The 16,157-nt window shown below is 37.3% G+C and overlaps 1 long non-coding RNA gene across 1 annotated transcript in view; it reads right to left on the reverse strand.

The window, feature by feature from the left end:
• CELF2-DT (CELF2 divergent transript) overlaps nucleotides 1-16,157 on the reverse strand; it is a 42,812-nt gene that overhangs the window by 7,336 nt on the left and 19,319 nt on the right. Inside the window, exon 2 of the long non-coding RNA NR_120637.1 lies at nucleotides 7,051-7,158. This is a non-coding gene — a long non-coding RNA (CELF2 divergent transript). The remainder of the gene's footprint in view (nucleotides 1-7,050; nucleotides 7,159-16,157) is intronic.

Genomic DNA, 16,157 nt, shown 5'->3' on the forward strand with positions numbered 1-16,157 from the left:
GATATGGAAACCGCACATGAAAAATGTGTTCCTTCCGCTTTTGTAGTTATTAGACATGAAGGTGATACTAGCCTTTGACTGCCAGAGTGGTAAGCCAAGTTTTGGCCTTAGGATATCAACAGTAATTCAGTATTATCTCTTCTAGCATCTAATTGTTCTTAGCTCTGTGTTTGTACAAACACATGAGACCTGACAAGTTCACTTGCCCTTAAACTCTCTAATTTCTGTCCCATATGAGAGGCTGACGTGTTTAATATTCTTGAATTTCTACCTTACTTTGTATCATTCTTTGTTAATGGAAACTTTTGCACCTTTCTAACCTGTTGGCTGTGAAAGTTTAACTTTTGTTAGTTTTAAGGACAGAGTGAAACTAAATGATGTAAAATGAAAAGATAAAACCAGAGTGTATGTCAGTTACTGAGAACTCTCCTCCCACCATGCCTTTTGTCCTCCTCCAAGGTGCTGGCCTCTGTGAAGAGGTTCCAGCCTTTATTTGAACCCCCAGAGCTCTGGACCAGCAGCTGGGATATGTCATGATTACTTTAGAGTGAGATTAATTTGAGGGCATCATGCAATAATGAGGTTTGCCTGAAAAATTAACACATCTTAAAAGACTGAGAGCAAGTTTGCCCCTCCTTATTCTTTTTTTTTTTTTTTTTTTTTTTGAGATGGGAGTCTTACTCTGTTGCCAGGCTGGAGTACAGTGGCACGATCTTGGCTCACTGCAACCTCTGCCACCCGGGTTCAAGTGATTCTCCTGCCTCAGCCTCCCAAGTAGCTGAGATTTCAGCACATGCCACCACACCCAGCTAATGTTTGTATTTTTAATAGAGACGGGGTTTCACCATGTTGGCAAGGATGGTGTCGATCTCCTGACTTTGTGATACACCTGCCTTGACCTCCCAAAGTGCTGGGATTATAGGCATGAGCCACTGCACCCAGCCCAAGAGTTAGTGATATCTTTTTTTGTATCTTCTCCATCCCCATCCTCTCAAGAAGAATCGATTTGTAGATATCTTTTCCCTTGCCAATAGGTATAATTCCATTCTGTTACATTCCTCCTTTATTAAATTGAAATCAGCTAAGGAAATGCAATTAGACTTTAAGAAATGTAATTAGAAAGAGAAATATTCTACAAAGACAATGTATTAGAGCATATTGAATGTTTTACTGTAAGGGCATAATTTGCTATTTTAATCTTATAGTATAAAAATCCAATTTTAATGATTCCTACTGTTAAAGAAAGTGGCTCAAATTAATTTCTCAATTTTCTAAAAGTTGATCCTTATCCTGAAAGTTGGATCATGGAAATAAGTTTGTGAATACATTTACAGTTATAAATTTTACCTTAAGTCTAGCAGGATAAATCAATGTACATAAACACTGTAATGTAAAGTAGAAAATTGGTTATAAAAGATGTTCAGATAAGGTGCTACGGAAGCTCTGAGGAGAAAAAATAAATTGTCTAATATAGAATTAGAGTCAGCTTCTTTGAGAGAGATGAGCTGAGTCTTGCAAGATCTGAATATGCAACTGTAGTTCAACAAATATTTGTTGAATACACTGTAGAAATATAGTATATACAGTCAATATATTTATCTGTACTTTGCTGTTAAACTGCAACCCATTTTTTAAAAATTTTTTATTTCCTCAGGTTATTGGGGAACAGGTGGTGTTTGGTTACATGAGTAAGTTCTTTAGTGGTTATTTGTGAGGTTTTGGTGCACCCATCACCCGAGCAGTGTACACTGCACCCATTTTGTATTCTTTTATCTATCTCTCACCCCTCTTCCCACTCTTTTCCTTGAGTCCCCAAAGTCCATTGTGTCATTCTTATGCCTTTGCATCCTGATAGCTTAGCTCCTATTTATGACTGAGAGCATGTGATACTTGGTTTTCCATTACTGAGTTACTTCACTTAGAATAATAGTCTCTAATCTCATCCAGGTTGCTGTGAATGCCATTAATTCATTCCTTTTTATGGCTGAGTAGTACTCTATCATATTCCCACCAGCAGTGTAGAAGTGTTCCCTGTTCATTGCATCTATGCCAACTTCTATTATTTTTTGATTTTTTGATTATGGCCATTCTTGGAAGGAGGAAGGTGGCATTACCTTGCAGTTTTAATTGGCGTTTCCCTGATCATTAGTGATGTTGGGCATTTTTTTTTGTATGTTTCTTGGCCATTTGTATATCTTCTTTTGATAACTGTTTATGACCTTAGCCCACTTTTCAATGAGATTGTTTGTTTTTTTCTTGCTAATTTTGTTAAACTCTTATCCTATCATGCAACTGTTATTTTACTTTCATTTCTACCTCATATATTCCTAGAGCAGCTCATGATGGCTTGAATTTTTGATTGCTGCCTCTGATCTCTAATAAACATTGACAAGCATTCTCTCTAAAGAGCCAGGTAGTAAATATTTCTGGCTGTGAGGGCCACAGGATTTCTGTGGCACCTACTCCACTCTGCTGTGATAACATGAAAGTAGACATAGCCAGCATATCAATGATGTACGTGGCTCTGTTCAAATAAAACTTTCTTTACAAAAACAAAGTTTTTGTAGGGAGCAGGCCAGGTTCAGCCTACAGATGGCAATTTCGTAATCTCTGGTCCATACCATAGGCTTACTGTATCAGTCCAAAGAAAATATTTCTGATCTGTAATTTCCATAAAAAATGGTACTGTAACAACTAGGAAATCGTCATTCCTACTGGACCACACACGTATCTGTCAAGAACAGTCGAGAATATGAGATTTTACCCTACTTGCAAGTGCATAAGTTAGCCTGACAGTTTCATCGATGCTCTAGCTAATGACACAGACTCCTGGGTCAGAGAAAAAGGACAGCTTACTGCTCATGGTAAGAGCAGAATCAGAGCATCAGCATTTCTTGTGCCGGCTTCTCAAGCTCTGGTTCCCACCGGGCAACAGAGAGCCAGGGAATAACCACATACAGTTCATTGGATTTTAGGAAAAGAACCCTGAGTTTAGAAAACAGAAATCTTCTATAATTGGCAATAAATATGCATGACCTTAGCCCCATAGAGAGATGCTAACTTCATTACACTGAACAGCAAGCATGTCTGCCCTTTGCTGTAGAGGTAGACAGCAACCATCTCTATTTGCCAAGACTGTTTGCCAAACACACATCCTTGACTAGAGAATCTAGACTAAAGGCTGGTAGTGCCTCTGCCTGCAAGATGCACAGAAATACAAGAAACTCACAGTGAGTTGTTTACCAACCCCAGCCTCTCAAACTATAGTCATATCCCTGTAGGTTTTGAAAGCTTTGATAGAAATACAGCGTTAAGACAATCATACTTAAATGCCCACTGAATTTACCAAAACATTAACAAAAATAATCAGGAAATGGCAGAGGCACTCTGTATATATTTAATTCAAGACTCTAACTACTCAACAACTAAGATGAACATTGACTCAACTCCAACCTGTGGTTCTTACCTTCGGATACATATTCCTTGAAACACAATCACATTAAAATAAAACTATCTCAATGCTGCTTATTTATACTATAATTTTCAAAAGTCTCTGATACCTGTGTGTACCTGTTTGTACATGTATGGTAAAGGGTAGCTTGTATACGTATCAGAAGTTACAGGGTTAAAAAAAAAAGGAAAACATTGGTACGGAACTGAAAAGAAGTTGAGATGCTTTACATTTTAAATATGCTTGCCAGAATTTCAGAATCATTTAATGAGATTAACCCTTTCAGAATTTAATTTAAATGAGTTTCCAAAAATTCACATTAGCTTTACTCACATGTATATGGTAAGAGATGACCCATCTTCTCCCCATATAACAGTGGGAAGTGGTGTTAAATGAACATAGAGTAATTTGATCAAGGCCAATAGGCAGAGTTAGAACAAAGTCCTAATTAAAACTTTTTTTCCCAAGCCACAGAGCTCACATATTTATTACTGAACAAACCTACTAGATAAGTATAAATACAAATAAAAATGTCATTATTTTATCAATAAAACCTGTCCAATGATCTAGATTGTGCTGATTTTTTCAGTTTGATATGGTAAGATGCTAAAGACCCTGTGGGTGGCTGCCATGAATATGTGAGCCATTTCACATGCAAGACCTCACAGGTGAAACTTGGCTCTTCTCCCACGTCTGCTTGTGGAACTGTACCTGACTTTATGACCAGTTCTCATCCTAATCTCCTGGAGAATGGGTTCTGCTTGATTCTTGGCCAGGAGTTACTGGATCCTGAAAGTCTTCTGAAGAAGACACATTGAGGAGGAAAGCCAACCACATACACCATATCATGGTGGAGAAGGATTTTTTTTTTTAACCAATAACTGTAAAGTTTTATCAGGGACCTATCACCGTGACGCACACCTGGAATCCCAGTGCTTTGGGAGGCTTAGGTGGGAGGATCATTTGTGCCCAGGAGTTCAAGACCAGCAAGGGCAACATAGTGAGACTTTGGCTGTATTAAAAAAAAAAAAAAAAAAGCCAGGCATGGTGGCCCACACCTTTAGCCCAAGCTACTCAAGAGGATTACTTGAGCCCAGGAGTTTGAGGCTGCAGTGAGCTGTGGTCAAACACAGCGCTCCAGCCTGGGTGACAGAGCAAGACCCTATCTCAGAAAAAGATAAAGCTCAATAATTGATATATTTTATTGCAGTGAAAAATGCATTATTTATATTGATACATAACACTGGCACATATTTACAGAGAACACATTTTCTTGCATAGAACAGGTATTGATGAAGTCAGCATATTTAGGATATTTATCAACTCCGGCTACAGTTAACAATGTATTGTATGTTTCAAAAATGCACTGATTGTGCTCTTGTAGTCACTTCTTAGGTTTTCATGTGATGCTATGATAGTACACTAGGTTCTATGGAGAAGGCAGAATGACAGTCCTTGTAACAAAGCTGTCTCAACATCAGGACACACATCCTCTACTACACCCATGGATAAGTAGAATCCATAAACATGAGAGCAGCCTGATCTGTAGCAAGCAGAACCCTAACGCCTTCTAGGAGCACATTTGTGCCTATTTTGAACAATCCACTGAATGCAAGGAGGTGGTGCATGTGTACGAATGGCAGATGAGTGTGTGTTTTCATTTCAGAAGAATTCTTCCTCACTACCACGTTAACCCTTTTGGAATTCTATACCTTTAACTATGTCACTCCAGTCATTTTTAAATGGAACGTTTAGAGCTAAAGATTGCTGACTGATGTGACAGAGAAAATCGTGTTCCTGCCTGTGTACAGACATTTTTCAAGCATGTCCCTGTTCATACATACGGACATGAAGACTCCTAGAAAATGCTGTGGGTACATTTCTCTCCTGCCTCATGAAAGTGCTAGAGATGATTTGCGGTGAAAAAATAGGCACCAAGTTTTAAGTTTTATTTTCACCATGCTTGTACTTTGTTCTGCTTTTAGCAGCAGCGTGATGTCAGACACATTTAAATCAGATGAAAACCTGAATTTTTCATATTAATTAAAGTTCAACGGATTCCTTATAAAGAATACATGAAAAGATCAGCGCTGATGGGGGGGGAGGGGTGTGGGGGAAGTCACGTGGGATGGATTTTCTGAAGATTAACTGTGGCTGAGTTGAGATCCCTCCTGGGCTTTCTGGACTGATTCCAAATTTAGAAAGCGATTGACAAGCAATGGTACCTTATCCTGCACGAATTTTTTTTTCCTCTGAAGAGGAGCAGAAATGAAGAGAAAATAAATGTTTCCAATGAGTAGTGATGTAGACAAGTTCTTGTGTGTGCTCTCACATGTGTGTGTTTACTGGGAACTTCCACAAAATAACAAATTTGTGCAAAAAAAATTGGACTAACAAAGGTTCTGTGTGCAGATGTCTCTGCCAGCATAAGACAGGAAACATTAAGGTCTGTGACTGAAGAGTCCTTTTTCCAGTGATAACAGGTGTCTATGACTAGCAGCCTGAAGATGCGATCACAGCAATTCCTGCCAAGTTCTTAGATCATCCCCACGTGACCAGCAGAATTCATCTGAGTTCAGTTATTTATGTTTAAACTCACAAATGGAGATCTTTACGGCATTATTTGGCAAACATAGACATAGGAAAAAATAATACAATGGAGGCATGTATTATCTTACTAAAAAGTGAATTTGGACTCAAAGGAAATTCATGGAAATGAATCTCTTTGAACTACCTGTTATACATTCTGACGGTGGACAGAATCTATCACTCTGAGTGAAGGAGATGGTTTTTGTCCTTGATCTAGTCTGGTAGGGTCCTATCTTCCCTGATCCCATCAGCTGTTTTCTTTCCAGAGGGTTTCCAGAAAGGTACTGACTGTAGGACATAGCCAGAACCTCTGTGCCAGCTTCCCAATGCCTAGGGCTTCCTGCTGTAACAGTTGGTGTTAGTCACTGCTATTTTATTGCTACCAATGTGCCTACTTTATCTATCTCTGTCTTTTTATACTTGAACTGCTGATGAGAAGACAATGATATCTAATTAGGAAATCCTAAATTATTCTTTTAATCTTTCACACTATGCTTTTGGTGCAGTGCATCGGATTGTAATGAATCCCACTTCCGCACGTAGAACGCACATTTCTTGTGATTCAGTTTCAATCTCCTTTCTCGTATTTGCTTGCTGTTTGATCAGTTGGCCTTAGCAAAGTGGAATTTAGGGCATAGTACTTATGACCCAATATGCCCCTTGATAGTGATGCTCTAATTTTGGAGCATGACCTGGTAATAGTACACTTGGGTAAACTAGATATGACAGAGTTTACATTGCCATTATTGAGCGTTGACAAAAAACACATAAATATGATTGTGGCTAATCATAAAGACAAAAAGTAAAAATTTGGCTTCTACCATGGTGGTATTAAGATTCTTTGATATGGTGATGGCCTGATACCAGACCTGAAAAAGTCAAGAACCAAGGCTCCGGTCACGAGCAATGTGCTTTTCCTAGAACTCATCAGCCTTCCTTGCCATGACCATTATTACATTCTTACAGTTCAGCTGTATCTCTACTGTCATTTACTAGAAAGAATCACTTACCCTGTCCTTGTGCTTTTGATAGGAATCAATCACTTTCAGTGCCTCTCCCCTGGAAACCACCCAAACTTGTCTCTGCTGCTTTTTGATAATTTTCAAATGCTGCAACCTCTATGCAGTGGGGCAAAGGATAAAATGGCCATGAGAATATGCATTTGCAAAGCTTTCGTAACAGAAATTGTCTTTGATGCTGAATATTACTAATCATTAGGGAAAGACAAAACCACAGTGAGATACCATCTTGCACCAGTCAGAATGGCTGTTATTAAAAAGTCAAAAAAATGAAAGATGCTGGACAGATTGCAGAGAAAAGAGAACACTTACACACTGCCAGTGGGAAGGTAAGTTAATTCAGCCAGTGTGGAAAGCAGTCTGGAGATTTCTCAAAGAACTTGAAGTACCACTTGACTCAGTAATCCCATTACTGGGTATATACTCAAAAGACTACAAGTCGTTCTACCATAAAGACACGTGCCATGTGTATGTTCTTTGTGGTGCTATTCACAGTTGCAAAGACATGGAATTAATCTACATGCACATCAGTGGACTGGATAAAGAAAATGTGGTACATGTACACCATGGAATACTACACAGCAATGAAAAAGGATAGAATCACGGTTTTTGCAGCAATATGGATGCAGCTGGAAGCCATTATCCTAAGCAAATTAACACAGCAACAGAAAACCAAATTCTGCATGGTCTCACTTACAAGTGGGACATAAACATTGAATACACGTGGACAAAAAGAACAACAATAGATACCAGGCCTTATTGAGGGTGGAGGGTGGGAGAAAAGTAAAGATTGAAAAACTACCTATCACTACCTGGCAAAGTTGTTGTACACCAAACCCCTACAACATGCAATTTAGCCATGTAACAAACCCACACATGTACCCCTTGAACCTAAAATAAAAGTTGGAAAGTAAAAAATGTTTTGCCTTTTTATGCCTCCACATTGTCTTAATAACACACTGTTGAATTACTCATAGCAGATAAGTTAACTCCTGGTAAAATTTCATTCAACCTGTTGATATCCACAAGCTCTTTAAATTGTGGAGGGAGAGTAGGTTAAAAAAAAAAAAAACTAAAAGAAACATGACTTAAAGTTGTATACGTAAAACCAGAAAGAAAAAAAAAAGTGTAATGAATTGGGGAAATAGCTAATAGGGTATGTAAGGATGAAATGAGTGTTGTTGTTGTTTTGTTTCTTTTTTTTTTTTTTTTTTTGAGACAGAATCTCTGTCACCCAGGCTGAAGTGCAGTGGCGCGATCTCGGCTCACTACAAGCTCCGCCTCCCAGGTTCACGCCATTCTCCTGCCTCAGCCTCCCAAGTACCTGGGACTACAGTTGCCCGCCACCATGCCCAGCTAACTTTTTGTATTTTTAGTAGAGACAGGGTTTCACCGTGTTAGCCAGGATGGTCTCAATCTCCTGACCTCATGATCTGCCCGCCTCGGCCTCCCAAAGTGCTGGGATTACAGGCGTAAGCCACCGTACCCAGCTGAAATGAGTGGTTTTATGAATTCTACCATCACGCAACTTGGTTGAGTTGAATTTTATAAATTAAATAAATAATGCACCTGATGTAAAAGCTGCAACAGTAAACGATTAGAAAAAAGTAAAGTTTCACGGCTTTTTGTCACTGATGTATGTTACTTGAGAAATGATATGCAAACCCATTCACACTTTTTCCCTCCTTGGGTTGCATCTAACTTTTGTGCATCCTTCTGGTTAGAACTTACTGAAACAGGCAAGTAAGTAATTATAACTGAGCCAAAGGATATGCTATGTAAAGAGAAGACACACATTTTCAAATATGAAGGTCAAAATACAAATTTCTAATATAAAAATAAATTTTAAAGAAGAGTTGAGTGCTTGCTGTGTCCCTACCAGTAACTCACCTACACTAGGATATTCTTAGTAAGCAAAATAAAGGTTGACACACCAAGGGATAGTAAAACTAAAACACCCAGAGTGAACACTTAGAATGAATATTTAAGCCCTTAAACATCATGGAGGTTTGTTTGCACTGATTTATATGATAACAAATAGAAAATGTATTTAGAGAATTGTTTTTGAATGCTCAATGACAAATTTGAATAAACCCAGCCATCGTGAATCTGCTAAACTTACTATGAATCACTGCAAATGGGACACCAATGCTTTCCTTGACTTTAATACTAAAAGACATGACTCAAATGGTTTATTTGATAATAATTGAAAACCTTGATAATGAGAAAATTTATTTTCTACTGTGAGATATTTTTTATGGAACAAGTACGTTTTCTAAATCCATCATTCAAAGGCTGTTTTCATTCATCACTTTGAAATGTACTTTTTTTTTTAACATTGCTCTTCTTCCTGTGAGAAAAAAATAGAAAAATCTTTAAATTTCCATATGTATTTGTCTACTTTCTGATTGTTTGACCAAATGAAAATATGATGGTTTTATGCCTTTTATTCTATGGGGAGAGGGAAGGTAACTACTTCTATATTATTTCCTTCTTTATTAATATCTGTGTGGTAAAAGAACGTCAAATACACATAATAAATTGGGGAATTCAACCCAGCTGACAAAGAATGTTATTAAAAGAAAACCACCCAAATACATGGTTTTCAGCCAGGAGAACAAAAGATGTGAGGCTTCTTTGGTTGAACCTTCTTCAGCATCACAGCAGTAAGCAGAGTCCTCGTTTTTCTGCCCTCTTGCATTTGCAGAGGGAGTAATGCTATGCGTTGTCAAGAATAGAATAAGCCAGTTCATTCATGAAAACTTTAATGGGAGCCAAATAGAATTTCTATTTTGGCTGAGGACATTGGTGTGAACAACAATGTCAACTATTTATTTCTTGCCTGCTATATGTCTACCATGTCTTTAATTCTGCAATCACCTCTTAAGTCAAACTTTATTATCTTACTAGAGATGAGCAAAACAGGATTCAGAGAGGTTAAAGGACATGCCCTACGAAAAACAGCAACTTCCGAAGCCAGGATTCTAACAAAGAGCTCCATCTAAAAAGATGAGGACTCTTCATTTCCTCCTCAGTGAATGGGATCCTGGGGTTGGAAAAGATAATGTTTCCTAAAACGACTCCCCAATTTAAAGCAAAGCAAATTCAATCAAAAGCCAGAAAAAAAATATAGTATTAACAAGTTTCCTTAAGCATACATAAAACCAATGTTTTTAAAATCACTCTCAAGAGTTAATTAAAAATGGGTAAGACACATTTGCATCTAGTTTGAAGTTCCTTTTTCTAGACACTGACACAAAGTCACTGAATATTTCATTTAACTTTTTAAAGAGATATTTATAAAGTTTTTTAAAATGTTATCACTGATATGATGTGAATTTTTGATAAAAATCAGGAACGATACCTGCCTCTTTGACTGTTATTCTTCACCACAGTGTGAACAAATTGAATACAGCCTTTCAAAATCACCAAGCTTTATTTTAAGCTTACTTCTGAATACATGCTTTGTACTTCCATATTTTGTGTTTGGCTTTTCTGATATACAAATGAGAACTATGATGGTCTTATAAAGCATCCCTTAAAGTTTAATATTAAAGCAGAAAAAACTATAGCATCATAATATTTTATCTAATTAAATGTTAAGTCTGGTTTAAGGGTATAAATATTTTATAAGATTAACCCTTCAGAATCTGGACACACAGAAAGCATGGACACTGTTTGTGACAGATAAGCTATAAAGACTACCATCTTTTGGAGTCAATGATTCTAAAAATGAGATCAGACCTCCAAATGGTTCAAACTTCATTTTTAGTCTAGATTCTTTAATCAATTAATGAAATTAACTAATATAAGCCAAGACTTGTGTTAACTGGAAAGATACTAAATCTTACTTTGTTCCCTTGTATGTATAAGTTAAAATTTAGTTTGCAGATAGCATAACTTGCCTAAGCAAAAACAATTTATTTTTTAAATGCTCTACCTCTTAGAATTTAAGAAACAAAATATGACTGGGCTGGGGGAAAAACAGACACAAGTGCACAAATAATGTCAGAACTCTGTCTTCATCTGAACGTTTCTACTCTTTTTTTCTTCCTCATATCCTCCCTCTCACCCTGCCTCTTCTCGCTCTCATTGAAGACAGTCAATCTTTCTTTTTCTGGTCCATGTGGGAGACTCATGTCGTATAACACCCAAGCTGTTGCTCGTATGGCTACAGTGACTTGAGAAATACCATATTGGAAATCTGAGTCCTAAATGTAGCTTCCTTCAGACTTAGATGTTGCTTCTGAACCAATCAACTGGGTACAGACATACACAGGGTCATGTGTATAAAAAGGATCACAGTGATATTTATGTGAATAGAGATTGTAATCCCAAAATTGGGGAGTAGACTTCAGGGAAGAAAAATCCCAAAATTGTCACTATCCTGTGAATCCAAATCACTGCCCCCAGTTTACAGTGCAGAAGTTATCACATCAACTTATTCTCCCTTCCTCTTCCCCTCCACACCTTAAGGTATATAGGCCAGTGTTGCTTGACTCACTGCACATCAGTCAGTTTAAGATGAACACTGCTTAGTTCAGTTGTTTTCAGAGTTGAGATTCATGGTGCATTCCAACTGTACTTGGCATGAGTTACTGAGTACACTTAGAGAAGCTGCCAAAATGTGCAGAGTGTCTTTGGCAGAAGAAAAAAAACAGATGGTCCCATCAAATGGATCACGTTTCATGGGTACTAAATTAGATTCAAAGAGAAGAGAGTGGTGTCTACCTGGGGAATATGTTTTCAAAGGTTAGATATCTCAGTTATCATAAGCTAAGGCTTAATGCTTCAAAAAGTTGATTAGGAATTTGAGCATATAGGCCACATTCCAGCTATTGAAGTGATGGAGGGAAAGGGTGCTTCCAGAAGACACTCAAGCATGATCAGAAATTACAGCAGAGTTGCTGAGGTCTAGGAAGCAGTGACAAGTTGACAGATCACACTGGCAAAAGTGTTCAGACATGAGCATAGTCAATGTGGCTAACACATCAATATGCATGACCACAAGATGAGAAAACAGAACTTCAAAGGGGCTAAGGTACACAAGCAACATAATAGGTTTCCAATTGACTCTGTAGAGACTTTTGAGCATGAAGAGCTTTTGGAGATTGGTCAGTCTAAATGCATTTTGCAGGTGAGAAACCTGAGGTCAAAAGAGGTAAGCATTTAGTATCAGGTCTCCTGATGCTGGAAACAGTGCTGTTCTATACCTCATTAAACAAGAACTTTGAGTTAATAATCCAAAGAAAAATGATCTACTGGGGAAGACTACCTTCAAATAAATGCAGCCAGGACTGCTTTGTTTAATAACAGCTTGTTTCAGGCAACCTTTCTGTTTTAGTAATGAATGTGATGAGAGTCATTCAAGAGTCATCAATAGGGGAGTGTGAGTTGTCAATCCTGGGATAGGACTCGGCCAAAAATTCAATTTATGGTTTAATGAACTTGATAAACACCCATGTGTGGGTAGCCACTTAATAAGAAACAGTGAACTTGGTATTAAGGGACAGATCTAACACATATCTCGTAATGCTAAACTGACACATGGGATGGGGCAGGGATAACTGTGGGAATCGTGCTTTCTTCTTGCATAGCATAGAGTTGCCCTAGAAAGCAACTGCCCAGCCAGAGTCTATGTTCCCCAGTAGTCCTTGCGCTAGGTCCAGAATGACAATAGAAGTGATAAATATGGTGCGTGCAACCCATGGTGCTTAAGAAACAGTCATTCTGAGCAAACTATCGCAAGGACAGAAAACCAAACACCGCATGTTCTCACTCATAGGTGGGAATCGAACAATGAGAACACTTGGACACAGGGTGGGGAACATCACACACCGGGGCCTGTCCTGGGGCGGGGGAGAGGGGAGGGATAGCAATAGGAGATATACCTAATGTAAATGACGAGTTAATGGGTGCAGCACACCAACATGGCACATGTATACATATGTAACAAACGTGCACGTTGTGCACATGGACCCTAGAACTTAAAGTATAATAAAAAAAAAAAAAAAGAAAAGAAAAAGAAACTGTGTGCATTTTCCATGCTGTTTCCCCACTGTCTATTAGCTGGAAGCAGAGAATTCTCAGACCTTGTTCATGAATGACAGAGCCACAAATGGGAAGGAACACAGGTCCCTACACCACAGCTTGGAGGAAAGATTTCCAAAGTTCAGGAACATCCAGATTACATGGTTACTTGAGGAAGAAATAGGTTGAAGTCCTGAAAGTTTGGGAGTTAATTCGTTAAAGCTGCTAATGAACCTAATTAATATAATAGACTATTTCCTTGTATCCATGTAGACTCCATGTTGGGGGCATCTGAAAATCCATGATAATAGACCATGCTCCCAAAGGGGTCTGTTTAAGTGGAGAAGATCTGATAGAAATTCATAATACATAGAAATTACCAGTCTGAGCATCTTTCTATCATAGTTCCTCCAGCATTGCTTCAGCATTCAGTCTCTCTGCTCTGTCTCTTTGCATATCAGAAGACAAAGTTGTACACTAAAATTTGACTTATAATTTGATTCCATGACTCGACTCAAAGAATAGTATGAGAGAAATTTCCAAAGAACTGCTGGCAATTGCATAAGCTGCTATTTCTGACATAATTCTCTAACCATTGCCTTTAGGGCCAATGCATCCTAATTTGTTAATGCCAACAAGAAAATCTCAGAGATGACCAAGATACTGAAATAGCCCAACAAGTGAGAGACAGCCTCAAGGGGTATTCATATAGTAAAAGATACACAGAATATCAGATCAGGAGAGGGCCCTAATAAGCATCCAATAATCGTGCTCCACTCCTTCAATTTACATAAGATTGGCTTTATTTTTTAATGTCACTCAGAACAAATGACTTACATTCTGAGATTCCTGACTTAGAGTTTTTTCACTAAGAAACACTATATTCACTTCGAACTCATCACAAATCCATACTTCTCTTTAGTGATCGCTTTTCTTTGTCTTAAATTATATCAACAATTGACTTAGGTACACAGGGAACATGTTCTAACGATATGAGATTCATATAGCAATGTTAACATCTTACAATCATCAAAACTATTATAGGGAAGTATAGCAATACTTGCCACCAAATATCCCTGTGAATAGCACAACAACATGATTTTATTAACCATATTTTAACCATGAAAAAAATCAAAGGTAACACAAATGTTGGAGGAACTTCTGCCAGTTCCTTCTAATATGCACTGACATATGAAGTGATTTGCATAAGATAATTCTACAAGGGTAGAATTGGTATTTACAACAGAATTCTTGCCCTTGACATACTTTCTTAGAATTAAGAGATTCTAGGTAGTTGCAATGTAATATCATTCAGTAGATTGTTTTTCAAATAAGAGTACGTTTGAGAATTGATAATGTCATCTTTTCCATTAAAGGCTCATAATTGTAGGAAAAAAACAGCCAATAGTTATTTTATTTCGGGTCAATTCAAGTTCTTAAAAAACTTGAAGTAAAATATATCAAGTTACTAACATGATACAAGGAGAACTGAGAGTTGTGTCTTCATCCAAATGGCTTTTTCAATCATTTTTAATAAAGATTAAACAAAAATGACCATGATGCTAATGCATTAACACCTGGAGAATTTTTATTTTTGAAGTAAAATCAGTGAATCATATGCTAGATATTTTGATTTTGATTTTATGCATATAGATATTTTATATCCAGATGTTTTATATCTAGATATTTTATATCTACAGATATAAAGATATTTTGATTGTGTCATTACATGACACCTCTTAGGACATAACCACATATGTGGCAGAAATTCCTCCCTCCACTGGAAAAATACTGGAAGAGCATGAAGAATTGCAATCTGCTATTGATTATTAAAATGACAGGAGGGTCTTTCTCTGCCAGGAGAAACCGTGAAAATAGGAGACCAATGGGCAGAATGGAGAGGAAACTCTCAGAAATGGAAATGACAAAAGACACAAGTCTTCCTTCTCCTCTATACAAATAAAGGAAGAAAGAAGATATTTAGACAAAAGGAATGATTAATTCACACTGCCTACTGTGGCAGCCAAATGACCCATAAGAAAAGCCCCTCAGCCATAGAGTTGAAGGTAGATGAAGCCACTGTACACCAAAAATTTGTAGAGCTCTGTGTGTATATGTGTGATTATGTGCTGTGATTCTTAATACAGGCTAAGAAGTGGCTGGATAACCCTATGCTCCATCCTAAAAATCACCCTTTAGGATTGCACATAGAAAAATGCAATGAAATAGCATTCAACCTTAAAAGAGGAGATTCTACCATTTACCACAATGCGGATGAACTTGGAGGACGTTATGCTAAGTGAAGTAAGCCAGACATAGGGGGAAAAAGTACTGTGTGATCTCATTTGTATGCAGAATCTAAAACAGGTTGAATAAATAGAAACAGTAGAATTGTGGATACTGGGAATGAGGGGAAGGAAATGAGATGTAGGCCAAAGGGTACAAATTTGCAGTTGTGAGAATGAATAAATCTAGAGATCCAACCCAAAACATGAAGACTATAGTTGATAACATTGTATACTGAAAATTTGCTATGATTTTAGGTTCTCTTATCACAAAAGGTAACTACAGAAGGTGATAGATTGGTTTGTTTGACTTTCATAATTTCACTGTGAATATATCAAAATATATTGTATACCTTAAATATATACAATAAATACATTTTTAGAATAATGCTCTTTAAATAGCAAGATGAAAAAACAACAAAGAATTTTAGCTGGGCACTGAGGTATATGCCTGTTATCCAAACAATCTTGGAAGGCTGAGGCAGGAGGATTGTTTCAGCCCAGCATTTTGAGCCTGGGCCACATAAAAATTAAAATATATATGTAATAATGCAAATCAAATTTTCATAAATCATCCAAAGAACTCTAGACTTACAAGTTCTCATCCTAAAAATTTCTAAATTTTTGTCCAAAAATATGAAACATAATTTTACCTATAACAAAAAGATACAGTAAGATATAAAATGTAAATATCTGTGAATAAATCACTTAATCTTCAAGGAAATCTCTCATCCATTTCTGGATCCAATCATCTTTTCAGAAATCTATGTTAAATAGTGAAAC

The sequence above is a fragment of the Homo sapiens genome, chromosome 10, assembly GCF_000001405.40.
Source record: "Homo sapiens chromosome 10, GRCh38.p14 Primary Assembly".
Classification (NCBI taxonomy): Eukaryota; Metazoa; Chordata; class Mammalia; order Primates; family Hominidae; genus Homo; species Homo sapiens.